The following is a 26,787-nucleotide window of genomic DNA, read 5'->3' on the forward strand; positions in this document are numbered from 1 at the left end:
CGCCGGCTGGGCCCGCCCCCAGGCTTTATGACGCAGGCGTGGCCGACTGACTCCTATTGTTAGAGCCGAGGGAGACGCGTTGTGGGAGGGTGCGCAGCAAGCCAGAGAGGACGCGAGGGGCAGGGCCTCAAGCAGGGAAAAGGCGGAGTCAGGGAGGGAGGGGGAGAGACTCTGCGTCATAGAAAAGGGCGGGTTGAGGTGGCGCTTGCTGCTGGTTAAGACCAGACCTCTGCTGCTTTGTAGCAAACGCGCGTCTCCCGGTTTCACAAGTGGCTGACTCGTTAACCTCGTGGTTAGCTCAGTTTTTAAAAAATATGTATATTTTTATTTTTATTTTATTTTTTGAGACGGAGTCTTGCTCTAGAGTCGCCCAGGCTGGAGTGCAGTGGCGCGATCTCGGCTCACTGCAACCTCTGCCGCCCGGGTTCAAGCGATTCTCCTGCCTCGGCCTCCGGAGTAGCCGGGATTACAGGCACGTGCCGCCACGCCCGTCTAATTTTTGTGTTTTTAGTAGAGACGGGGTTTCAGCATCTTGGCTAGGCTGGTCTTGAACTCCTGACCACGTGATCCATCCGTCTCGGCCTCCCAAAGTGCTGGGATTACAGGCGTGAGCCACCGCGCCCGGCCAATATTTTAATTTTTTTATTAAGATGGAGTCTTGCTCTATCGCCCAGGCTGGAGTGCAGTGGCGCGATCACGGCTCACTACAACCTCCGCCTCCCGGGCTCAAGCGATTCTCCTGCCTCAGCCTCCCGAGTAGCTGGGATTACAGGCATGTGCCACCATGCCCAGGTAATTTTAGTACTTTTAGTTGAGACGGGGTTTCACCATGTTGGCCAGGCTGGTCTCGAACTCGTGACCTCAACTCGCGCCCACCTCGGCCTCCCAAAGTGCTGGGATTACAGGCGTCAGCCACCGTGCCCAGCCGGTTAGCTCATAACGCAGTCCTTTCACTCGCCCAGCCGGGTTGGGAGCCTGATGGGAAGGGCAAGGCTTTCCTGGCATCCATTACCAAAGCATAATATTTGCATGGCACTTGTTATTACTCTTTAAGTCTGTCTGTCCTACCTCACTGTAAACCTTACCGGGCAGAGACCATGTTTGTTGCTTACCATTACCCCCACTTAGCTGAATGTCTGGCACATAATAGGTGTTCAATACACACAGAAAGGAAGGGAGGGAGGGGAGAAAAGACTTAAGCTCAATGTTAATGGGCTGAATTGTGTCCCCCCCAAAATTCGTATGTTCACGTTCTAATCCCCAGTAACTCAATGTGACTGTATTTGGACATAAGTTCTTCAAAGACGTGATTAAATTGAAATGAGGTCATTAGTGTGGACCCTTATCTGACTGGTGTCCTTACAAGAAGATATTATTAGGCCACAGGCATAGAGGGAGAACACCACGTGAACAAGAAGGTAGCCATCTATAAGCCCAGGAGAGAGGCCAACCCTGTTGACGCTTGATTTTAGACTTTCAGTCTCCAGAACAATGAGAAAATAAATTTCTGTTGTTTAAGCCACTCAGTACGTGGTACTTTGTTATGACAGTCCTAGCAAACTAATACAGCTGGCTAATGCTGGGCTGTACTCTACAAGATTTATTTCTAAGTAAACTTATTTTGACTAAACCAAGTAAACTTATTTTAAATAAATCACCTTTCCACAAACACCAGGGTTTGCACATACTTAGAAGACAGAAATAAAGTATCATCATCTAATATAGTGGTTCTTTTCTGTGAACATTTGGCAGCGTCAACCAGAAATGTTTCTGGTTGTCATAACTTGAGGAGGGGGGCAGTGATGCTGGCATCTAGTGGGCAGAGGCCAGGGATGCGGCTAAACATCCTACAGTGCACAGTACAATCTCCCCTCCCCCATACAAGCAAACAATTATCCAGCCCAAAACATCAGCAGAGCTGATATTGAGAAACCCAATGACAGATGCACTTCTTAGAGTGAAATTGAAAGATAATGGGGGACTCAAAGTTCTGGGTTTCTCTTTCTATCTGCAATATTTTTCAATTTACATAATTGAGGATGAAAGGATTTTTTATGAAATTTATTTAAATTTTGCTCCAAGGTCAAATAATTATGAACTTGAGCTTTGGAGTTAGAGAGGCCTGGGTTCAAATTCAAGCTCTGCAGTAACTTATTACTCTATTTTCTTGGGCAAGTTTTAATCTCTTTACAAGCTTCCGTTTTCTCATCTGTAAATTGGATGTAGGAATAGTACTAACCGGCCAGGCGCAGTGGCTCACACCTATAATCCCAGCACTTTGGGAGGCCGAAGTGGGCGAATCACCTGAGGTCAGGAGTTCGAGACCAGCCTGGCCAAAATGGTGAAACCCCATCTCTACTCAAAAATTCAAAAATTAGCCGGGTATGGTGGCAGGCGCCTATAGTCCCAGCCACTTGGGAGACTGAGGCAGGAGAATCACTTGAACCCAGGAGGCGGAGGTTGCAGTGAGCCAAGATCGCGCCACTGCACTCCAGCCTGGGCAACAAGAGTGAAACTCCATCTCCAACAAACAAACGAACAAAAAAAAAGAAAAAAAAAAGAATAGTACTTACATTAGGTTGTTGCAGGAATTAAATTGATATAATGCATTCAATTAGCAATTGTGCCTAGTACATGGTAAGTAGTTAGACTCTAAGAGTCCGGAACTCTAAATGTTTAAAAATAAAAAGTTTCTGTCAATTACCCAGTATAAAACCTCAAAGAGGAAAAAAAAATATCAGGCTTCATTTCTCTACTGTAGGATGGTTCCCCCATCTGACTGATCATCTTAATCACTTGGAAGGAAGTGAGTCAGGTGGACATCTGGGGGAAATGTGTTCTAGGCAGAGAGAACAGCAAGGGCAAAGGCCCTGAGTGGAAGCATGCTTGGTATATTCAGGAAACAGCAAGAAGCCAGGTGCAGTGGCTTCCACCTGTAATCCCAGTGACTCAGGAGGCTGAGATGGGAAGATCGAGCTTGAGGCCAGTAGTTCGAGACCAGCCCAGGCAACATAGCGAGACCCACCCCCCCATCTCTAAAATAATAAACACACGACAGTAAAAAAAGCCAGGCATGGTAGTTCACATCTGTAGTCCCAGCTACTTGGGAGGCTGAGGCAGGAGGATCCTTAGAGCCCAGGAGTTTGAGGATGCAATGAGCTATGATCGTGCCACTGCATTTCAGCCTGGGCAACAGAGTGAGACCCCATGAAAGAAAGAAGGAAAGGAGGAAGGAGGGAAGGACATAAATGAAGGAAAGGAAAGAAGGAAGGAAGGAAGAAAAGAAAGGTCAGTGTGGCTAGAATGCATTGAGCCAAGGGAAGAATTTGAAGAGATGAGATTGGAGAAGTAAGGAGGCCAGATCACTTGAATCTTCAGTAGGTTTTTTTTTTTTTTTTTTTTTTTTTTTTTGAGACAGAGTCTCGCTCTGTTGCCCAGGCTGGAGTGCAGTGGCGCGATCTTGGCTCACTGCAACCTCCGCCCCCTAGGTTCAAGTGATTCACCTGCCTCAGCCTCCCTTAGTAGCTGGGACTACAGGTGTGCGCTACCGTGCCTGGCTAATTTTTGTATTTTTAGTAGAGACGGGGTTTCGCCATGTTGGCCAGGCTGTTCTCGAACTGCTGACCTCAAGTGATCCACCCGCTTTGGCCTCCCAAAGGGCTGGGATTACAGGCATGAGCCACTGCGCCCGGCCTTTCAGTAGGTTTTTAAATAGATCATTTTGGTTTCTGTGTTAAGAACAGACTGTAGGGGGCAAGGGTGGAAATGGAAACCACACGGGAGGCTACTGTAACAGTCCGAACGAAAGACAGTTGTGGCTTGGACTAGGGTATAAAGTTTCTTTTTAGGATGGTGAGAATGTTCTAAAATTACATTATAATAATGGTTGCACAACTCTGTAAGTACTATACTAAAAGACATTAAATTGCTGGGTGCGGTGGCTCACACCTGTAATCCCAGCACTCTGGGAGGCCGAGGCGGGTGGATCACAAGGTCAGGAGTTCGAGACCAGCCTGGCCAATATGGTGAAACCCCGTCTCTACTAAAAAATACAAAAATTAGCCGTACGTGGTGGTGTGCACCTGTAGTCCCAGCTACTTGGGAGGCTGAGGAGGGAGAATCACTGGAACCCATGAGCTGAGATCGTGCCACTGCATTCCAGGCTGGGCAAGAGTGAGACACTGTCTCAAAAAAAATAAAAACAAAACAAAACAGTAAATTGTACACTTTTTTTTTTGAGACAGAGTTTCATTCTTGTCTCCTAGGCTAGAGTGCAATGGCGTAATCTCAGCTCACTGCAACCTCTGCCTCCCAGATTCAAGTGATTCTCCTGCGTCAGCCTCATGAGTAGGTGGGATTATAGGCTCCTGCCACCATGCCCGGCTAATTTTTGTATTTTTAGTAGAGACGGGGTTTCGCCATGTTGGCCGGGCTGGTCTTGAACTCCTGACCTCAGGTGATCCACCTGCCTCGGCCTCCCAAAGTGCTGGGATTACAGGCATGAGCCACCATGCCCGGCCTAGATTGTACACTTTAAATGGTGAACTGTATGGCGTGTAAACTATATCTCAATAAAACTATTAAAGAAATAGGAGACGGATCAAATGACAAATGGTACTGAGGGTTTAGCTGAGGTTAGAAAATATAAATTTGCAGTGGTATCAGTTTGCATAATTATATGGTTTTCGAAACCACCATTGCAAAATTGTAACTGAGACAATGAGATCTGACCTAACCAACTCCAACTCCATCTTGTTTCTTTTTTTTTTTTTTTGAGACGGAGTCTCACTCTGTCGCCCAGGCTGGAGCGCAGTGGTGAGATCTCGGCTCACTGCAAGCTCCGCCTCCCGGGTTCACGCCATTCTCCTGCCTCAGCCTCCTGAGTAGCTGGGACTACAGGTGCCCGCCACCATGCCCGGCTAATTTTTTGTATTTTTAGTGGAGACGAGGTTTCACCATGTTAGCCAGGATGGTCTATGATTTCCTGACCTCGTGATCCGCCCACCTCGGCCTCCCAAAGTGCTGGGATTACAGGCGTGAGCCACCGTGCCTGGCCAACTCCATCTTGTTTCTAACCTCCAAGCTGTCCTTGTTCATTCCTGGGTGTAGGCTGGACTAACTTTAGGAGAAATTTAGTTTACAGTTTAAAACAAAAATGATAACAGCCCTTTCCCAAAATGAATCCCCTTCTTGCCTGGGGACTAGACTGCCTTTGTGGGACTAACAAATTAGCCAAAAGATTAGAAATTATGGTTTAGGAGTCATGCAGCTGGAGGCTACAAGATTCTGACTCTCTCCAAATTGCTCCTGGGGATAACATCGCTATCATAAAGCCTAAGATCAGTGCTTGATATATTTTGCAGACCCTGCACTTGATGGATCAGTTGGCACCACCCAGATCAATAAACTGGCTAATATGAGCTTGTGGCCCCCACCCAGGAACTGACTCATTGCAAGAGGACAGCTTCAATCCCCTATGATTTCATCTCTGACCTGGCCAATCAGCATTCTTGACTCACCGCCCCCCGACCCCCCACCAAATTATCCTTTAAAACTCTGATTCCTGAATGCTTAGGGAGACTGATTTGAGTAATAATAAAACTCCAGTCTCCTATACAGCTGGCTCTGCATGAATTACTCTTTCTCTACTGCAATTCTCCTGTCTTGATAAATTGGCTCTGTCTCCACAGAGCAAGGTGAATCCACTGGGTGGTTACATTTCTTCCATACAATAGCTGACTGCATACAATCATTAACCAAAATGATCCAGGATTGGAGTTTTTTTTTTTTTTTTTTTTTTTTGCTCAGTGGGTGCAGAATAAGGGAAAAATATAAGGAAGTTGCGGGTGCTTCTAAGAGAGAAGTTCAGATTATCAACTATGGGGCCATGAGGTTCAGTCTGGATAAAAAAGGAAATAAAGACTGGGGACTGTGGGGGAAAACCCCAGAGGTATAAAATTCAAATTCCTTAATATGATTTATTATGCCTTTGATGATCTGGCTCCTGCTTATCTCTTGAGCCTCACATTATTTCTTCTTCTCTTACTTTTTAAGTTCTAGTCATACAGAACTTTTGAGTGCCTCTAATTCCGAATTTCTATACATTCTATTCTACCCTTCTCCCTTGCCCTTTTAGGTCTCAGATTAATAATTGTTTCCTTAGAAGGTCTGCTCTAATCCCTAGGCAACCCTGCTACATATTCCTACAGCATCCTGCACTTCCTTTACCTAGCTTTTTTTTAGTGTGTCAATTTTATGAATTCAGGGTACATTAATATAAAGCTGCAGAAGCCTGACCATGGCCAATACTGCTACTCTGTGTCAGTCTGTCTGAGAAGCCAGGTGTTTCTATAATCATGGTAGGCAGACTAATGAACTTCAAAGATGTCCATGTCCAAATCCCTGGAATCCGTGAATTATGTTATCTCACATGGCAACAGGGAATAAAAGTTGCAGATGCAATTAATGTTGCTAATCTGTTGACCTTGAGATGGAGAGATTATCCTAGATTACGTGCGTAGGTGAAATCTAATCACACGAGTCCTTAAAAGTGGAAGAGGCAGAAGAGGAGGGGCAAAAAGATGCATATGGAGAGGACTTGACCCACTGTTGCTGGTTTTGAAGATGAAGGAATGGGCCATAAGTCAAGGAATGGAGGCAGCCTTTAGAAACTGGAAGAGGCAAGGAAACAATTCTTCCCTAGGGCCTCTGGAAAGGAACGTAGCAGCCTTGCTGACACCTTGATTTTAGCTCAGTGAGACCTGTATTGGACTTCTGATCTCCAGAAGTGTAAGATAACAAATTTGTGTTGTTTTAAGCCACTAAATTGTAGTAATTTGTTACAAAAATGGTAGAAAGCAAATACAGTTAACATTCCTACCTTGCCTCAGCATAATGCCAAGTAGACCTTGAAGGTCGCCATCTTATCTCGAGTACCTAAATCCAAGTGGATAGCCCCTGAACCAGCTGTTATGGGCTGAATTGTTACCTTCCCCAAATCCTTATGTTGAAGTCCCAACCCCCAGTACCTGAGAATGTAACAGTATTTGAAGATAAAGTCTTTAAAGAGGTGATTGAATTAAAATGAGGCTGTTAGAGTGGGGCTCTAATGCAACATGACTGGTGTCCTTATAAAAAAAGGAACACCAAGGCTGCACACGCACAGAGGACCAACCATGTGAAGAGGCAGCAAGAGGGCGGCCAACTATAAGCCAAAGAGAGAGGTCTCTGAAGAACCCAACCCTACAAGCACCCTGGTCTTGGACTTCCAGCCTCCAGAACTGTGAGAAAATAAATTCTGATTAAGTCACTCAATGTGTGGTATTTCATAATATGGAACTACTAAGAAATGTCAGCTGGGCAAGAAAAGGCTAACTTCAGGCCTATATAACCCATTCCCTCTCTACTAGGAATCAATGAACTCAATCAAATTTCCTCTAAAATGTGCTGATATTACCAGAGAGAAAATGTAAAGTCCTTATCTCTAAAATGCTTTTAGCAAGATATACTTGGTCTTTATAGATGGTTTATTGTAAAACTTGGGATTTGTGGATTCATGAGGCATGACTGGCTGGAGAATGAGGGCTCATTTAAACTGCATAATGAAGTATAAAAAGGAGATGTTGCAAAATCAAATGACTCCCTTTGTTTGAACAAGGTCTCCACATACAACGCTCAGAAAGAAACTTGTCCTTTTTGAATCCAAAGTGCACCGAGAGAGAAAAGGGCCATTTTTGGAGCTGGACTCTCTAACATTTTGGACTTCTCTAAAAAAAGAATATTTCTTCTGTGTCTGGTGATCATCCCATATCCTTTGATTCATTAAAAGTTTGGTATTGGGTAAGATCTATGATTTATGTGTTTGACTTGACAAACCCTTTGAATGAAACAAGATTATGCATGGAAAAATTATTTTGCACTTCTTAAATATTCCTGTTTTATGTTCTATCAATCTAGTTTCAAAAATATACTTTGGATAGAATTTTACATTATAAAGGATTACATGATGAAAATAATCTGATAAAAGGGACAAACATGCATTGATTTGAAACTTTATTATATAAATTTTCATTTCTTTTAAAGATTACAAAACCTGTTCTATGACAGGAATACAAGCAATATTGTTCCAGGATTATTCATGGATACATCTGAAGAGCTTAGATTACACATTAATAGTATGATTTGAAAACTTCCCAGATTAGACTCTTAAGTAAAACAATTTAAAGTATTTAGTGATATTTGATCCTTTACAAGCATTTTATAATTATGGCAGCAATGCCAAGCATCTGATGCGATTTAACCACCAACAAAAGGTACAATATGTAAGAATTCATGATATGGTATCTTGGGCTTCTGGCATGCCTTACTAGAGAGAAACTAGTATAAAGGAAGATCATATATAACAGTAGAAAAATATTTGTGATTTTTTTCTTTTTTAAAAACTATTTAAGTAGGCACCCACCCCATTCCCACCCATGACCAAAAATGCAAAATAAGTACATCCCTTAGGTGTATACCTTCCCTTTTGCTTAGGGCAACAGTTAAGATAAACTAATACACGTATATGATTTTAAGAGTTAAAAACTCATCACCCATAATCAATAAGGATGCTAAGGAATGGCAATACCTTGAAGCTTTTTTTAAAATTAAAAACCAAAGCTTTAGATGGTAAACTACACTTACAGAAACACAAACCAAAATCTTTATGCCCTTGCTTTGTACGTGAAAGTTCTATTTTAAATACTTGTTTGAAAAACTCATTATACAGTTCATTCAGTACTATGGTGATAACAGGAGTAAAGATGTTCACTTCCATTAGACAATGAACTAATCTACTTAGAGAGGACTATTATAGCGACTCTCTTCTCATATACGTTTACATATACTCTACTCATGGTATGTGCTCTAAGGAGGTTTTATTGAGGTTTGTACCTCTGAACTTAAATCTCTACATTTTCCTTTCCACTAATCTCTATTCAAAATGTCATATACTTTGCTAGTTGCTCTGGGAGAAGTCATGGACATTTAAACAGCTTATCATGCAGTTCAAGATTATATGGCAAAATAATGAGGAAAGTGCCTTAAGAGGTAGGAAGTAGGCTCTCATCCCAACCCTCGGTATGCCCTGTTATGAACAGTTAAAAAACTAGAATCAAAGTGGTAAATGTGAGGCTGATAGTAATACCAGGCTTAAGAAAATTAAGTTGACTTAGTTACTAGAAATCTTTGAGAACACTCAGTCACATTGGAACCAGCTGCAAATCACTTGATCACACAGAATACAGCAGTGTCAAAAACACATAAAGCACACCGTAGATACAAATTCTTCTTGGCCATCCATATTTGGGCATTATCATTCTGGAGATTCTTCATTGGAAAAAGTGGTTAAGTGTGGCTCTGTTGAATACCACAGTCCCAATAAAGTGAATTTCATTCCTTCATTAATTGGTCTCCACCAATGGTCACTTGGGGAGACCAGCAAAATGTAAGCAACCTGGGGTTGAAAAGAGGACTGTTTTCATTAATTGAAATAAAAATACTGAGTTAAGTCAACTTATCTGTGAATTAAGTAAGGCTCAAAGTATATATCCAGTTTAAAGTTAGTTACATGGCATTGGGCCTTTCAGAGGGACACAACTCTAGGACTAGATTGAAACCTCCTGGTTTAAGCACCAAGGTCAGCCATGGAATCCATCATATTTGTTAATCTGAGAAAACAGACCTTTTCTGAACCTTTACATTCCTGAGCTATCTATCCTAATGCCTTCATAAGTCTCAATGCTCAATCAACCATAAGATAGAATTTTCTTTATAAAATATAGTAAAGCAAACTGAAAAATTATAGGTCATTTTTAAAGGCCAGGAAGTAGAGAATATCAAAGCCATGCTGAGATGGGTATTGCTGGCCTCCATGGTGATTAAGCGCATCCATAGCAAGGCCTGCAAATCTTGAATGCTTTTCTGCTCTCATCCCAGGCTGGGCTTACCTGAGTCCCTTTTCTGCCGAATACATTCTGCCCTCTCTTGAAGCCTTTGCTCTGTTCAAATCTTTCCTGGGCTGAAGGTGCAGGGCACAGCTAACTGGACAGCCCCACCTCCCATGATGTCCCCTGGCCCCAACAGCAGTCACTTCTTAAAAAGAGATGGGAAATGGTTGACCCAAACCCGCTTTTTGGAGTACACTGCATGTGAAATGTGGAAACTCTACAGCATACACACCACAGCTTCTCTCCAGACAATCATAACTGACTTTTCACACACACAAGCTTCATAGCATCTCAACTTTGGGCCTTGTCAAAATTATTACATTTTTGGACTTTTGGGGTTGCTTGTGAATAAATGCATCCATATCAAATCTGTTAAAGTTGGGGGTCTGTTGCATTAGAAATAAGACACCTCTATAAACCAGAAAAAGCTGAAATGATTTATAAAAAACAAAAATTAAAAAAGGATGAAAAACTTACCTTCATTTAACATCATCACTTGAAAGGGAAGATACAAAACACATGGTAGTGTAATTCATACCTTCCAGTACGTGCTTGACAAGCTTAAATTCAATCTCTCATTTTGTAAAAGAGGCCTGATAGTTTAGTTTCTTCTTTCACAATGAAATATCTTTAAGACTGGACTGATACCTTTTGGGAGAAGCCTCAGTAACTGGCAGCACTAATTGGTGAAAGGCAGAAGCCTTTAGGGGCCTCAATACCACAACTGTAGGGGCCTGAATAATTGATGTTGAGAAATTAATGGAAAAGTTAACCCAACACAAGCACTATATTTAGAGCACATCGTTGGCCAAGTTTTTCCACTGTATGTCAAAAGCAATGGAAGAGAATAAGAGGACCACAGATGAAATAAATTTAGGTAGAAAGCCTTCCATTTTGTGAACATATAACTTGCTTTTCTCCAATAAAATTGGCTGCTTGGCTAGGCAAAGAAGGCAATTATCTTCGAAAGAAATAAAAGTTGGCATCACATACCAGTAGAGGACTGCCCAAGAAATATGTAGTTTTTGAACTCAGCTACTGGTTGGTGATCATATGAGGGAAAGGCAGCATGGTGTGATGAGGCGGAAAAAAACAAAATGGGGAGAAGTTAAGGATTCTAGACTTTGATATGTGTCTCAGGTTCTCTACATGCAATATGAGAAAGTTGGATTGGGTAATTTATAAGGATTTATGTGTTTACTTCTAGTTCTAAAATACTATGATGGACAATACTCCTAAGCAATTACGGAGTAGCATCAGTGTAAAAAAATCTGAAAATATATCTATTTCTGCTCAGAATGACATTAACATTTTAAAAGTGACAATAATTTGAGATGACCAAAGTTTGAAACACTGAATAGAGGAGGGAAAAAAGCTCTCTTTCCAGGCAATGGAAAGCAGCTTTTAATAGCATCCATATATTCAAGAATTTGAAAATACTTTCTCTATCTAGACATTCTGATATCCCTCCTATATATTATTTCATTTAGAAGCTAAACTTACATTTGATTTCTATGCAGTAATCATTTTTGTGTCACTTGGGCAAAAGAAATGTTATAGATTTCCCCTTTCTCTTTAATTGCATAGAGGAGAAATTAAGGAATGACAAGTGGATTTCAGGACATTTAGATAAACCACACTCTCTTGGCTTTGTACTCTTAGGGGAAAATTTAAAGCTTCTGTGGCAGGAAAAAAGGTTTCTGATATAAATGGCTTATTACATGATGACTAACAAAAATCTGTATGAGTACATTCTTTTTTTTTTTTTTCCTTCTTGAGACAGAGTCTCACTCTGTCACCCAGGCTGGAGTGCAATGGTGTGATCTTGGCTCACTGCAACCACCACCTCCCAGGTTCAAGCGATTCTCCTGCCTCAGCCTCCTGAGTAGCTAGGATTACAGGTGCACGCCACCATGCCCAGCTAATTTTTGTATTTTTTAGTAGAGACGGGGTTTCACCATGTTGGCCAGGCTGGTCTCAAACTCCTGACCTCAGGTGATCCACCTGCCTCGGCCTCCCAAAATGCTGGGATTACAGGCGTGAGCCACTGCGCCCGGCCTGTAGGGGCACATTCTTGATGAGGTAAGTTAAATCACTTTTTTCTTGCTCATATGTCTTTTACATTACATACTGATGTATGCTAGGCAGCTTGGCAAAGACACAGGTAATAATGGGGACTGAAGTTTCTTTCATCAAATACGATTGTGGAAACTACCAAATTAGATGCAGATAATGAATACTGCAATCTAAGCAGGCCCAGTGGCCATTATGAAAACTGATCATTCCTGAAGTCAAAGGAAGCAGTATGTGGCTATAAATTATCATGAGGGATTCAGAAAATACTCAATGCTGTTCACTTAGCCTGCCCTACCTATAATTTTAGGTTAGAACAGATACTGTTTGATCAATAATGTTTTATTCCCTAAAATAAGAAAGTTTAAATCCAATTTCATACAGAGGCCTTTGGCCTTTATTACATTTAAATTAGTGTTTAATATAGAATATCTATTTAAACATGAAATATCCAATAGGACTTCAATTACCTGTTGCTAAATTTTCCTTCACCCATCTCCTTACCATGACTCTTAAAGGGCTTTGACGTATATTGGCAAAATCCCAGATGATATGCCAAATTCTAAGTATGGATGCTATGTAAGATTAGAAGTGCAAGGACTACTTCCTTAATTAAGGAAAAAAGTACTCTAAGGAGTTGCAAAGTATATGGACTAACTTCATAGGTGTATTCTTGATTTCATGCCACACACATATGATAACTTTCTCTACCATAACAGCTCTCTAGGTTAGTCTGACAGAGCACCTGACTTTAAGAAACAAACAAATGAACGAACCAGTGAAACAGACGTGGGGAAAGATATGTACATTTTGGAAGTATTACATTCAACAGCTGTTCCACAATCTGGCCATTTTTAGGACTGTCCAACAATACTGTTAATCCAGGTGAACTATTTAACCAGATTTAATAGTCAATTGATTAATAATAATAGATTCCAAGTTAAACAAGGCATGTATACATTAAAGAAAGCAGTACAGAAATGTACTGTATATGAACTGTTTACAAAAACATACAAAATGTTGGATGGCACAAGGGATACAGTGCTAATATAAACGGATTGTTTAAGCTAAGTGCTTAACATAAACTGTCCATCCCTATAACTAACAAAGAATATTTAAGGGACATGAAATATTTCCTATAAAAATAATGCTATATGGTGTACTTTATTCAGTGTATTTTTAGGTGGTATTCATATGTTCATTATTTTTCTCATTGATTCAGTGACTATATCTTCATCATGTTTCCATTTTCATTTCTTCCGAAGCTCCAGGAAAATCTAACTTGCTAACAATCATTTAAAGCGAGAAGAGAGGAAAGCAGGAGCAGCAGCAGGAACAGCAGCATTATGGGTACCAGCTGGGACAGTGTGTGCTTGCAGGTGTCTCTCAGATACGTGCTACCTGTCGCCAGAACTTGTGCTATCAGCTTACACCATGGTACCAAATATCTCACTGAGGTCACTTCACAGGGCTGTTGAGGTGATTTTTTTAATACCTCTCCGCTGAGCAAGAGTAGAGCGGCCTACTGGTTCCAAAACTGGTGACTGATTACGGTTCAAAGCAGAATATGTAGCTGCCATGGCACCCTGAACAAAGGAAATAAAGGTAGTAACAAAAGTGACAATGGATAGTCACACGTACACAAATACAAAATGAAGAGTTTTTTCATATGCAAATGTACATAGATTTTATTTGGTTCATAATGAAAATAACCACACTGGTCAAATCCACTGACTTAACCAAAACTGTAGAGGCCAACATGGAGGTTAAAATTATGTATGAGAGAGAACAAAGATAGGCTCATAACAGGCAGTCCTCACTTTTCTCAGGACTATTCAACATTTTTTCCCTTTGCATTCCTTTAATGCATAAAGGCACTAAAGAGACAGGAAGGCATGCTCTTTAAGTTGGGAAATCCATAAGCTTAATCTGTCCTTATTGATAGTGAATACCTACTCATGTAGACTGAGAGGAATTCAAAAGTCGCTCTTAAACTAGTTTTATTACTAATATATTGATATGCCTTGAGCTTTTCGAAGTCACCCACTGTAAGAGAATCCCACAACAGAACTGGATGCAGGATGAAAGAGAAAGGTGCTGGGGGCATGGACAGGGCTTCTTGAAGTCTCTCCTGGAGGACCTGTGGAAAACAGTGACTGTATGGGGCTGCTCACCTTTACTAGATGTGGTGCATCCTGTCTGTTTAGTTGGTATTGTGGCAGTTGGTCCCAGTGGACGATCCAAGGATGTCTGAGCACAAGAGCAGCAGTCAGTCTCTGATGAGGGTCTACATGAAGCATCTTTGACACCAGGTCCTGTAATGGGAATAATAAAACAAGCTTAAACCTTTTGTTTTGCTTCTTTTTCTATGGCTCTTGATACTAATGAACATTCTTCCTTAGCTTCTGTGATACTGCTTTTTCTGGTAGCAGCCCTTTGGTCAACATGGTAATTTGGGGGAAAAAAAATCAGTCTCCGCTTTTTCCCTGCTAAATAACTGTAATTTGGTGCATCACAAGGGGTCAATTTAGCACATTTTATATATCTTTAAGTACTCTGGCTCTTTTTTCCTTCAGATTTTCTGAGTTTCCTACATTTTTGTAGGTTTATTTATTTATTGAAACAGGGTCTCATTCTGTCGCCCAGGCTGGAGTGCAGTGGCATGATCTTGGCTCACTGCAACCTCTGTCTCCTGGCCTCAAGTGATCCTCCCACCTCAGCCTCCCAAAGAGCTGGGACTACAGGTGTGCGCCACCATGCCTGGCTAACTTTTATGTTTTTAGTAGAGATGGGGTTTCATCATGTTGCCCAGGCTGGTCTCCACCTCCTGGATGCAAGTGTTACTCCCGCTTCAGCCTCTCAAGGTGCTAGGATTACAGATGTGAACCACTGTGCTTGGCCAGTTTATTTTTAAGTAATATTCAGTTACTTAAGACTTTTTTTGTGCTGCTGGTAATACTGAAAAAAAAAAACATGAATGTCCAATAACAGGAATTTAATTGGAGGGCTCTAAATGCCCCCTGAAAAGACTATAGTATTTTTTTTCCTACTTCAAAAGCAACCCATGGGCATTAGAGAATAATCAGAAAATACTGGAATGTGAAAGCACATGAGGAACAGTTCCATAATCCCACTCTTCCAGAGACAGTCACTGTTAGCACTGCATATCTATCTAAATGCCATTCCTATGCATGCAATGTAGATGCATATAATCACTACATGGTTTTACACTCTTCAAAATAACACCACTGTCATTTATAAAAGCCACCATTTTTTAAATTTTTCATTCAAAATACATTTGTTAAGTATCCAGTAAAGGCCAGGCATTCTGCTAGGCACTGGGTAGTTAGCAATGAACAACACAGAAATGAAGTCTAGGCAACATTGTGAGGTCCTGTATCTACAATTTTTTTTTTTTTTAAAGCTGAGTGTGGTGGCATATGCCTGAGGTCCCAGCTATTTGGGAGGCTGAGGCAGAGATCATTTGAGCCCAGGAAGTCAAGGCTGCAGTGAGCCGTGATTGAACCACTGTACTCTAGTCTGGGCAACAGAGCGAGACCCTGTCTCAAAAAAAAAAAAAAAAAAGACAAAATGAACTCTGACTTCATGAAGTTTTCAGTTCAGTGAAGGAGAGATAAAGAATCAATAATCACAAAGCAAGTAAGTTCTTTGACAGGATGAACAAACACCAGGTGCAGCTGGAGGGACACAGAGATACCTGACTGTACTGTGTGAGGTGGCTTAAAAGGGACTTTTTAAGAGGAAGATAAGACCTGTAGGATAAGCAGGAGCTAGATTAGAGAAAGGAAGGGGGAAACACTGCCTCAGGTAGAGTAGAGAGAATGGAGAGTGAGTTTGGAGGAACGCTCTTAGGTGGGAGAGAAGACGACACAGTTAAGGAACTGGCAGCAGTACAATGCGGCTACAGCATAAATTTACCGTGAAGGAGAATGTGGCAGTGGATAAAGTGGGAGAGATGAGAAGGGACCAGATCAGGAAAGTCCCTGTAAGCCATATTTGCAAACGTGGACTTATTTGATGGTAATAAAGTGTTTAAAGTTAGGGAGTGATGCGGTTAAGTAAAAAGATCACATTCACTGAGTGTGGAGGAAAATGGACTGGTGAAAGATGACAGCTTCAGGGAGGTGTATGTAATGGAGAAAATTGGGCTGGGCGTGGGAGAAATTTGGGAGGCCAAAGTGGGAGGCTCACTTGACCCCAGGAGTTCGAGACCAGCCTGGGCAACGTAGTGGGACTCCATCTCTACAAAAAATTTAAAAATTAGCTGGGAGTGGTGGTGCATGCCTGTAGTCCCGGCTGTTCAGGAGGCTGAGGTGGGAGGATAGCTAGAGTCCAGAAGTTGGAGGTTGCAGTGAGCTGTGATTGTACCACTGCAACTCTAGCCTGGGCAACACACTAAGACTCTATCTCAAAAAAAAAAAAAAAAAAAAAAAGAGAGAGAGAGAGAGAGAAATGGAGGTATTTAGGATAAAGAACTGACAGAATCTGGTGGTTAACTAGATCTTGGGAATTAGCGTGATGTTGTTCCAGGTACTCCTCTGCTATGAGACATTTATGGTTTCTTACTTTTAGTTATTAACAGCTAAGAACAGGGATACGCAATTGAACAGAGCTGGAAATAAAAATAAAAAAAATTAGGAACCTCCCTTTTGCAATTCTGAAAGTAGGCAAAAGTGCTTAAAATTGCATAAAAGGTTGCAAAACTGTCCAGGGGTACAACAAAACTCAATTATAATTTTAATCAAATCTATACGTTAATGAGCTTTTGGTGAACTCACTTCAAACTACTTCTCTTACTACAGCCCCTTTAATGGCTACTCCTCCCCTAAGCTTTCTCTTTAAGTGGTGCTCTCCAGAATTCTTTCCTTGGCTCTCTTACACTCTGCTCAGATAATCTCATTCAAATTCATGGCTTTAGCTACTATGGATGATGACAACTCTTAAGTGTCACCCCAGACTTCTCTTTTAAGACCTATAACCATATAGACAGTTGCCTGATGGACATACATCTCTTAATTTATAATGTCCAAATCTGCAACCACCACTCCTCTCAAAACTACTTCTTTTGTATTCTACAAATCAGTGAAGGATACCACCCCTCATCCATCTGCCCAAGGTAGAAATGGGGACTACATACATTATAACTGCTTTTCTCTCATTTCTTATGTATAATAAACCATCAAGTCTATTATGCCTCCTCAATTTCTCTTCCATTTGGCTCAAATTCCATCACAACTGCTCTAATATAGGTCCTCATCATTCATGACCTGAAATATTGCAAAACCTTACAAGTACTGTCCCTAATATTAGGTCAGTGAGGACTAAATGAAACAACATAGGTAAAAGTGTTAGCACAGTCCTTGGTACATAAATGCTCAGTAAATGCCAGCTCTAGTCTTCTTGCTCTGAAAGCCACATATGGCCCACATGACTGACAACATTCACATATGCAACTTGCTCTTGAGGGGATACACCCAGATTGATAGAGCCCTCCCTTCTATCTTGTGGCTAATCATGGAATTATATCATGCTTGTAATCACAAGTCTTAACTGTACATATTAGCAACAGTTACTAGTGATAACATGGAATCTATAAGATAGGCTGTGAGTTGGATGTAATTTTTTATGCTCTGTGTCTCCATTCTTACCTGCCCTTCCTCTCTCACCAAAAAAGCATACCAGGATGTAAGTGAATGAAGAAAATCACAGTGATAACCTCAACTTGCTTTAACTTATTAAAAAATCAATTAATGTGTAAGCCCTGATATTTTATTATTGGTAACATATACTTAATATACCTCACAACCTATCATGACAAAGTTTGTGGTGGACTCCATAGCTAAGAATTACTGCTCCACAGAATGCACTTTAAAAAGGAAAATCTGATCACTGCACTCCTTAATATGTGTTTTAACAGCTCCACAATACCCAGAGTTAAGCCCACAATCCTCAGCACGAGCCACAAAGCCTTTCACAATCTGGGTTCATCAGCTATCCTCTCCCATGCAACCCTGCACTAGTCACATGGAATGACCAGCCTGGAGGCATTCTGCTATTCTCATGCTATCATCACCACCTATCTGCATGTGCTGATCCCTCAGTTTAGGACTACATCTTTCAGCTCCCCAAATCTGCCTGGCAAACTCCTTCACCGCTTCTGGAAAGCTTTCCTTAAAATCCTTCTGACTAAGCATCGTCTGTGTACTTCTTTAGCACAGAAACTGTACCACTGTTACAGCACATGTGACACTGCACCGTATATTTTTGGCTGTCTCCCAACTAGACTGTGAGCAACCTGGGATTGGGAATTCTATCTTTGTCACATCTTTTATCTCTAAGGCCTTCATTTATTAAGCACATTGTAGGCACTCAATAAGGGAACTACAAAGGAAACAAGTACCCAGAGAAATGAATTATCTGGTTTAAGACATTGTTAGAAAAAGGTAAAGGCTAACATTTCATTTTATTTATTTATTTTTATTTATTTTTTTGAGACAGTCTTGCTCTGTCACCCAGGCTGGAGTGCAGGGGTGCACTCTTGGGTCACTGCAACCTCCGCCTCCCTAGCTCAAGCAATTTTCCTGCCTCAGCCTCCCGAGTAGCTGGGATTACAGGCACCTGCTACCACACCTGGCTAATTTTTTTGTATTTTCAGTAGAGTTGGGGTTTCACCATGTCAGCCAGGCTGGTTCTGAACTTCTGACCTCAAGTGATCCGCCCACCTCGGCCTCCCAAAGTGTTAGGATTACAGGTGTGAGCCACCACGCCCGGCCAACATTTCATTTTAAATGCAGTTATAAAACCAAATATTATCTATACAGACATTAAATTGGTCAACTGAGGCTTCAGGCCCTAGGCCAACAGAATCTATATACACTTTTGATGTGTTCTATTTACTTATACGATCACCTCAACTCAAGCTTTCACCCCTAAGAAAAAAGAATATGCACTTTCACCAATATGTATCCTCTTTATCTACTCTGTTTTTATTTTGAAGTAAAAAACTTCATTTTTTTTTTAAAGAATTCTCTATGAAAAAAGTGAAAATAGAACAGAGTTGGAGAGCAAGTCAGTGCTATTCAGGGGATGGCAGATCTTCCAGTGAGAAGGGCTCTTCAAACGATTTCATGCAGATGCTATGAAACTATACATCTGTTTATCGTGAAAAAACCGAAACCCCTTTCTTCATAATCTGAATTAAAAATAGAACATGGTATAATTATTCTAGGGAATGAGGGCTGTGGAATCATATTTAGTTTGAAGCACCCATGTTTACCTGGTATGTAACATAGACAAGTTCAAACTAACATTCCGGGCTCTGGTTTCCTTCTGTGAAATGGGGATACTGCCACCTATTTCACAGGGTGTTATGAGGATTACATGACATAATTTAGGTAAAGTGGCATGTGAGGCACACAATAGACAGACAAATCATGAAGACTACCACGGTTATTATTTATCACGTTCTTCAGTGAGAAACAGTTTTAAAAGTATAAATAATAAGGCCAAACCAATGTCAGCTGGGGAAGAAACAAAATAATGGGTCCATTTTCGAGTTCAAATTATTTGTTAACATCAGTTTAACATACTAATTTATAAACAAAGGTTTCTAACTGGTAGTATTTCTTCTCACTATGGATCATAAAAAGTTATTTTCTCAAAATCTTATAATAGGAAGTGATACTTACCTTTGCTGTGTCTGAAACAGAATTCCAGTAACCACCACTGAGTGAGAATTTTCCGCTACCTATTCGTGCCAATATTTCCTCTGGTGTATCATCAGGACCATTTGCAAATGGAGTGTAACTAATTTATAATAAAATTAAAATATTAATGAATAAAATTTATTACTTGGTTGGTAATCTCAAAAGTACTCTAATTCAGTTAATGTAATATTTTATTAAAATCTACCAAAGTGAAAAAAATCAACAAAATGAAGCTCCATAAGGCACCAGGTAAAGTATAGGTTATAAAATATTAATTATATTTAATATACAAATTATTGTATATTTACAATAATTACAAATATACAAAATATTTATATTAATAAATATTTTAAGACCTGACACATTATAGAATAAAACATTAAGAAATAGTGTAGGCCAGGCACGGTGGCTCATGCCTGTAATCCCAGCACTTTGGGAGGCCGAGGTGGGCGGATCACGAGGTCAGGAGTTTGAGACCAGCCTGGCCAACATGATGAAACATTGTCTCAACTAAAAATACAAAAATTAGCCGGGAGTGATAGTGCGTGCCTGTAGTCCCAGCTATTCGGGAGGCTGAGGCAGGAGAATTGCTTGAACCTGGGAGGTGGAGGTTGCAGTGAGCCGAGATCGTGCTACTGCACTCCAGTCTGGGTGATAGAGCAAGACTCCGTCTCAAAAAAAAAAAAAAAAGGTCTATGTTTCTAACATGACAAGAGTACAAAAAAGTATGGAAAAAATCAATTTAGGACCTCGAGACATTAATAAATAGCACATTATAAAAAATCAGTAATGATATAGCCATAAATGTGGAATTGTTACAGAATTGTATATATTAGATAACACGAGAAAACATGGAAAGATATGACAACATCTGAATTAAAAAAAAAAAAAACCTACATAGGCCAGGTACAGTGGCTCATGCCTGTAATCTCAGCACTTTGGGAGGCCAAGACAGGAGGATCACTTGAGCCCAGGAGTTTGAAACCAGCCTGGGCAGCACAGCAAGACCCTGTTTCTACAAATTAAGAAATCAGGCAGGTGTGGTGGTGCACTCCTGTAGTCCTAGCTACTCCTATTCAGGAGGCTGAGGTGAGAGGATTGCTTGAGCCCAGGAGTTTGGGGCTATAGTGAACTATGGCTGTGTCACTGTACTCCAGCCTGGGCAACAGAGTGAGACCCTGTCTCTAAAGAAAAAGCAAACAAACAAACAAAAAACCCCAAACAAAACAAAAACCTAGATAACTTAAGCAAAACATTGATGAACAAATGCTTAGGTGCTTAGAACATATGGTATACACTCACCCGGTAAGCATTGTATAGAGTAGGACACCAAGACTCCATATATCACAAGCAGCATCATAGCCTTGTCTTTTTAAAACCTAGAAAAAGTGCAAAATTAGTATTACTATACCACCATTTTGTATATATATTTGTAAGGCTATGAGTTGAATTATATATTCCAAATCAACACCTATAAGGAAAATTTCAACAGAACATGGTTACCAAATAAGGCAATACGTTAATCCGATTCTAGAACATTCTACTACTAATAATTCATAAATTTAATTTTGGTATTCAAATTAATATTTATTGAGTGCTGTAGGTACACAGGAATATAAAACAAACTGAAGATAACTTTCTTATTTTAATGAATTTATATTTTGTTTGGGGCTACAGAAATATTTACAAAAAACAATGCTTTTAAGAACACATACACACACGCACACAAAGAACACACAGAACCTAGCACAAAAATCACCAACTTTTATCAGGTACGAACTATGAGAAATACAAAAAACCCCTGATTTCCCCCCCAAAAAAAAATCTGATGGGAAATAAACATATAAATAGTTAACGACTCAACCTGATAAATATTATAATAAAATCAAGTCTGGGTAGGGTATGGTGGCTCACGCCTGCAGTCCAGCACTTTGGGAGGCCAAGGTGGGAGGATCACTTGAAGCCAGGAGTTTGAGACCAACCTGGGCAACACAGCAAGACCTCTTTATTATTATTATTATTATTGAGACAGGGTCTCACTCTGTCGCCCAGGCTGGAGTGCAGTGGCGCGATCTTGGCTCACTGCAGCCTCCGCCTCCCGGGTTCAAGCAATTCTCCTGCCTCAGGCTCCCGAGCAGCTGGGATTACAGGCATGTGCCATCACGCTTGGCTTATTTTTATATTTTTAGTAGAGACAGGGTTTCGCCATGTTGCCCAGGCTAATCTCAAACCCCTGAGTTCAAGCAATCTGCCTGCCTTGGCCTCCCAAAGTGCTAGGATTACAGGCGTGAACCATGGCATCTGGCCAAGATCTCATCTTTAAAAAATAAAAATAAAAAATAAGCCAGGCACGGTGGTGTTCTCCTGTAGTCCCAGCTACCTGGAAGGCTGAGGCAGGAGGATTGCTTGAGCTGAGGAGTTCAAGGCTGCAGTGAGCTATGATTGCACCACTGTATTCTGGCCTAGGCAACAGAGGGAGACCCTGTCCCTAAACAAACAAACAAAAACCCCAAATTATGTCTTAAATGTTATAGGTATGAAGATGAGGAAGCAATTTATTCCTGACATGGGGAGAGAAGGAAGGCTAGAGGGTGGCCTGCTTATATTGGACCTATAAGTAAGAGAGCAGAGCAGGCTTAGTGATAGGCCAGAAGTCCAGTGTGTCTAGAACTTCAGGTAGGGAATACCGGAGCAGGTAGGGAATACCAGAGAGACTGAAGGGTTGTTTTTTTTTTTTTTTTTTGAGAGGGGTTCTTGCTTTGTGACCCAGGCTGGAGTGCAGTGGTGTGATCTTGGGTCACTGCAACCTCAAACTCTTGGGGTCAAGTGATCCTCCTACCTCAGCCTCCTGAGTAGCTGAGACTACAGGCACGCCACCATGCCCAGCTAATTTTAAAATTTTTTGTAGAGATGGGGTCTCACTATGTTGCCCAGGCTGGTCTGAAACTCCTGGCGTCAAACAGTCCTCCTGCCTTGGCCTCCCAAAGTGCTCGGATTACAGGCATGAGCCACCATGCCCTGCCTCAAGGGCTTTTATAATATGTTAAGAAATTTAGATTCTTCTGTAGGCAATCAGATGTCACTGAAACATTAAACAGGGAAATGAAAGGCTGGCATTTTATCCTAATTATTTCTTCAGTAAGTCTTCAATTAAATTATTATTAATAATTCGGTATTAAACATAGTGAATGAGTTTTAAAACATACTAATACTGCAAGCAAACTCTCTCACAATTACCTCTGGTGCAACAAAATTTGCAGTGTAACAAGGAGTCATGAGAAGACCATTTTCCGCTCTCAGCTGTTTTGCAAAGCCAAAATCACAAATTCGAATAGATTCCGGATTACCAGATTCATCCACATAAAGAATGTTGCTAGGTTTCAAGTCTCTATGAACCACCTAATTGAAATACAAATTAAAGAGTTATGTTAACAATATATTTCCATTACTGAAAGTTCTTTATTCACAAACTGTCAAGCAATGCACTTAACAAGATGATGAGTGCTGACCTTTAAATTAGCCTAACATTATAAAATACTGATAATGTAAAGCATAACTCTCTAACATAGACCGGGGGCAAGGAGGAGGAGGAAGAAAGAATAGTACTTACCTCCCTCCTCTTTGTCCAACTGAGTAATTGGGTTAAGGAAAATTGCAAACAGCAATAATATATCTACCTCCAGGTTGATCACTCATTTAATATTGAGTGTCTATCATGTACCAGGGTATTATATAAGCTGCTGTAGATACCGTGGTGAACAAGACCCATGAGATCCTGGCCTTTCCATGCTAGGAGCTTACACAGTTCTGGGGGAAGCAGAGAATAGGTTGAGAGATGGGACATAACTAGGGAGGTCACTTTAAATAGGGCAGTCAGGAAGGGTCTCTAGATTAGGTAACATCTGATCCAATAGCTGAAGAACAGAATGAATGAGCCATAAGAACAGTAAGGGAGAGTCATTCTAACTAGAAGGAACAGCACGTACAAGATACATACACAACAAATATATTCTGATAGACTAAATGGAATAGACAGGGCATTGAGGAGTAAAAAGGAAAAAACCAAAACAAATCTGGACTTTATTTTTGGTACTGCCTATTTGATATACAAGGTGTTACACATGCAAGAAACCTCTTCTTTAGAGTTCTGTATTATTTTCCTCTTTTAATGATCTACCTGAGTACAGTAGTCCCCCCTTATCCGTGGCGTATATGTTTCAAGACCCCCAGTGGATTCCTGAAATTGAGGATAATACCGAAGTCTCTCTATATTTTTTCCTAGATATATATACCTATGATATAGTTTAATTTATAAATTAGGCACAGTAAGAGATTAACAATGACTAATAATAAATTAGAACACTTGTAACAATATACTGTAATAAAAGTTATATGAATGTGGTCTCTCAAAATACTGTAATATTTTTGACAATGGTTGACTGTGGTAACTGAAACCACAGAAAGCAAACTTGCAGATTAGTGGGGGACTACTGTACTTTTTTATCATAAGCTTCTCTGACATTCCTTTTTAGACTTAAGTGTGCCTTCTGTCACCAAATTCTGAGTCTGTGTTCCAATCAATCAAATTAGATTTAGTTCCTCACATCCAGGACATCACTTCTCCAGACTATTTTAATAACGAATTACTGATGAGGCATTGGGAAAAGAACACAGAAGACTTTGATGACTGCAAGGTCATAAGTTCCTCAGTGACTACTGAGTTCTACTAATTTCAAGTTACAATACTAGGCAAATCTTGATAAGTTAGAAGTCAGGAAGCTCCAGAATTAACACATTCTACTTGGCTTTCAGGGGCAAAGACAAAACAAAAAGAATGTATTGAAACTGAACTCCTTAAGAAGTAATCTTTTATATATGCATGTATCAAAACATCATGTTGTATACCATGAATATACATAATTTGTCAACTAAAAAATTTTTAAAAAATTGTTTATTTTCCCCTTGCTTTCTGCTCCTCTGCTTCACTCCTCTGCTGTTCTCCTTTCCTCCCTCCCTCCCCTCATTTTCTCCTTTCCTCCCAGACTTCCCTTCTTTTTTTTTTTTTTTTTTTTTTGAGATGGAGTCTCACTCTGTTGCCCAGGCTGGAGTGCAGTGGTGCAATTTCAACTCACTGCAACCTCCGCCTCTCGGGTTCAAGCAATTCTCCTGCCTCAGCCTTCTGAGTAGCTGGGATTACAGGCATGAGCCATGACGCCCGGCTAATTTTTGTACTTTTAACAGAGACAGGGTTTCGCCATGTTGGCCAGGCTGGTCTCAAACTCCTGACCTCAGGTGATCCACCCACCTTGGCCTCCCAAAGTGCTGGGATTACAGGCGTGAGTCACTGCACCCGGCCGCCTTGTTTTAAAAATACGATTTTCTCGAACTCCTGACCTCAAGTGATCTGCCTGCCTCGGCCTCCCAAAATGCTGGGATTACAGGCATAAGCTACCGTGCCCAGCCTAGAAATACAATTTTCTTTTGCTGTTTACTAAAAATCTGCATACAAGAAGAACGAAGAGCATATCCACCAGCCGAAGCATGTGACTCCTTGGCCTCATTGTTTTAAGGATTTCCTTTTATACATGAATACAAACCAGGATTCCTTGGTTCTGCTTCTAACCTGAAGTGGGCCTGGTTTTCATGAGTACAGAGTGACCTAGCAGAAACAATGCTATGTTTTCCAGGTCGGAAGAGATCACTTACTTTTTCTTGGAAGCACAAGAGTTTAACATAAACAAGCTAGGATATCAAAGGTACACTTCAATCTCAATAATAAAAGTTTATATAGAGGAAGGTCAGTAGGATAATTCAGCTAATAGCAGTTATTTTCCATTTCAGGCATAAAGTAATTTCTATCTAATTCTAGCTCAAACATAAAGGAAAAAAGTGTGTGTATGTACATATAGAGTGGTAAAAAGACTTACCCCTTGTGCGTGAAGATATTCAACGGTTTTAGTTATAGTGAACAGGACAGCACTGGCCTCTCGTTCAGAGAAAAATTTTTGTCTAAGAATTTTATCCAGCAATTCACCTCCTTTCATAAGTTCTGTTACTACATACACATACTTTCCATCATCATATACCTATAAATTTCAACATCAAAATGTAAATATTATTTGAAACTATATGTGCCCAAAACGAAGTTTAAAATATAAAGGAAAAATTAAACTCACTTCATATTCAAGACAAATTTTATTTATTTATTTATTTTGAGACAGACTCTGTCGCCCAGGAGTGCACTGGCACAATCTTGGCTCACTGCAATATCCACTTCCTGGGCTCCAGCGATCCTCCCACTTCAGCCTCTCAAGTAGCTGGGACTATAGGCGCATGCCACCACACCTGGCTAATTTTTGCATTTTTTGTAGAGACGAGCTTTTGCTGTGTCTCCATGAGCAGGGATAATCTGAGGAAATTTGAGTTTTGACAACCCCCAGATAAGGCCTTTGGGCCTATTGAGCATCATTAGCAAGAGAAGACTTAACACTACCTGGGGAGTTCACACTGTTTGCCAACACTTTGTTATAATAAAAGTCAAGAGAGACATAGGCAACAGGGTTATCATGACAGTCCAGGGAAAGATACTTTACTTGTCCTGGGGGTGGCAATGGGCAGGGCAGGCTTCCTGGAAGAAGCAGTGCCTTAGCAAAATCTTATATGTGTGGTAGTTAGCCAGGTAAAGAAAATAGATGGTGTTGGCAACTGAGGGAACTATAAATTCAGACATAACAGCATGGAAAATGAGGCATGCGCAAGAAATTTACATACTAGAACACAGAGCATCAGGTGTATGAGAAAGGGTGTGTGAGAAGTCTGAAAACTACAGAGGAAGGCAGGGTCTTAAGCGGCTGGGGACTTTAGACTGTAGGCAGGGAAGTTAAATGGGTAGTTATGAGTGTTAGATCTCTTTTCTAGTAATGTGGAAGATACTTTGGGGTAGTCTGGAGAGTGAGACTAGTCAATATTGAATATGAACTAATAGTAATATTAACACTGAA

At 40.7% G+C, this 26,787-nt stretch overlaps 1 protein-coding gene across 17 annotated transcripts in view, besides 1 other annotated feature; it reads right to left on the minus strand.

Moving 5' to 3' along the window:
- Window positions 25–74: an enhancer, noted in NCBI's record as "active region_29480". NCBI's record gives its function as "activates an Ori minimal core promoter by ATAC-STARR-seq in GM12878 lymphoblastoid cells {active_cell/tissue: GM12878}" and the evidence as "EXISTENCE:reporter gene assay evidence [ECO:0000049][PMID:35858748]".
- Window positions 8,036–26,787, minus strand: part of RPS6KA3 (ribosomal protein S6 kinase A3) — a 117,187-nt gene continuing 98,435 nt past the window's right edge. For 13 of the 17 annotated variants that reach the window (XM_011545561.3, XM_017029719.3, NM_001438340.1 and 10 more), the window contains 6 exons: window positions 25,714–25,872; window positions 23,024–23,185; window positions 21,089–21,165; window positions 19,769–19,886; window positions 14,234–14,374; window positions 8,036–13,645 (listed from right to left, as the gene is read on the minus strand). In XM_011545561.3, the coding sequence (XP_011543863.1) occupies window positions 13,523–13,645; window positions 14,234–14,374; window positions 19,769–19,886; window positions 21,089–21,165; window positions 23,024–23,185; window positions 25,714–25,872 (780 nt within the window). In that variant the 3' untranslated portion in view covers window positions 8,036–13,522. The remainder of the gene's footprint in view (window positions 13,646–14,233; window positions 14,375–19,768; window positions 19,887–21,088; window positions 21,166–23,023; window positions 23,186–25,713; window positions 25,873–26,787) is intronic. The other 4 variants (XM_047442335.1, XM_047442333.1, XM_047442332.1 and 1 more) reach the window with 1 other exon arrangement.

This window comes from Homo sapiens, chromosome X, assembly GCF_000001405.40.
Source record: "Homo sapiens chromosome X, GRCh38.p14 Primary Assembly".
NCBI classification, from domain to species: domain Eukaryota; kingdom Metazoa; phylum Chordata; class Mammalia; order Primates; family Hominidae; genus Homo; species Homo sapiens.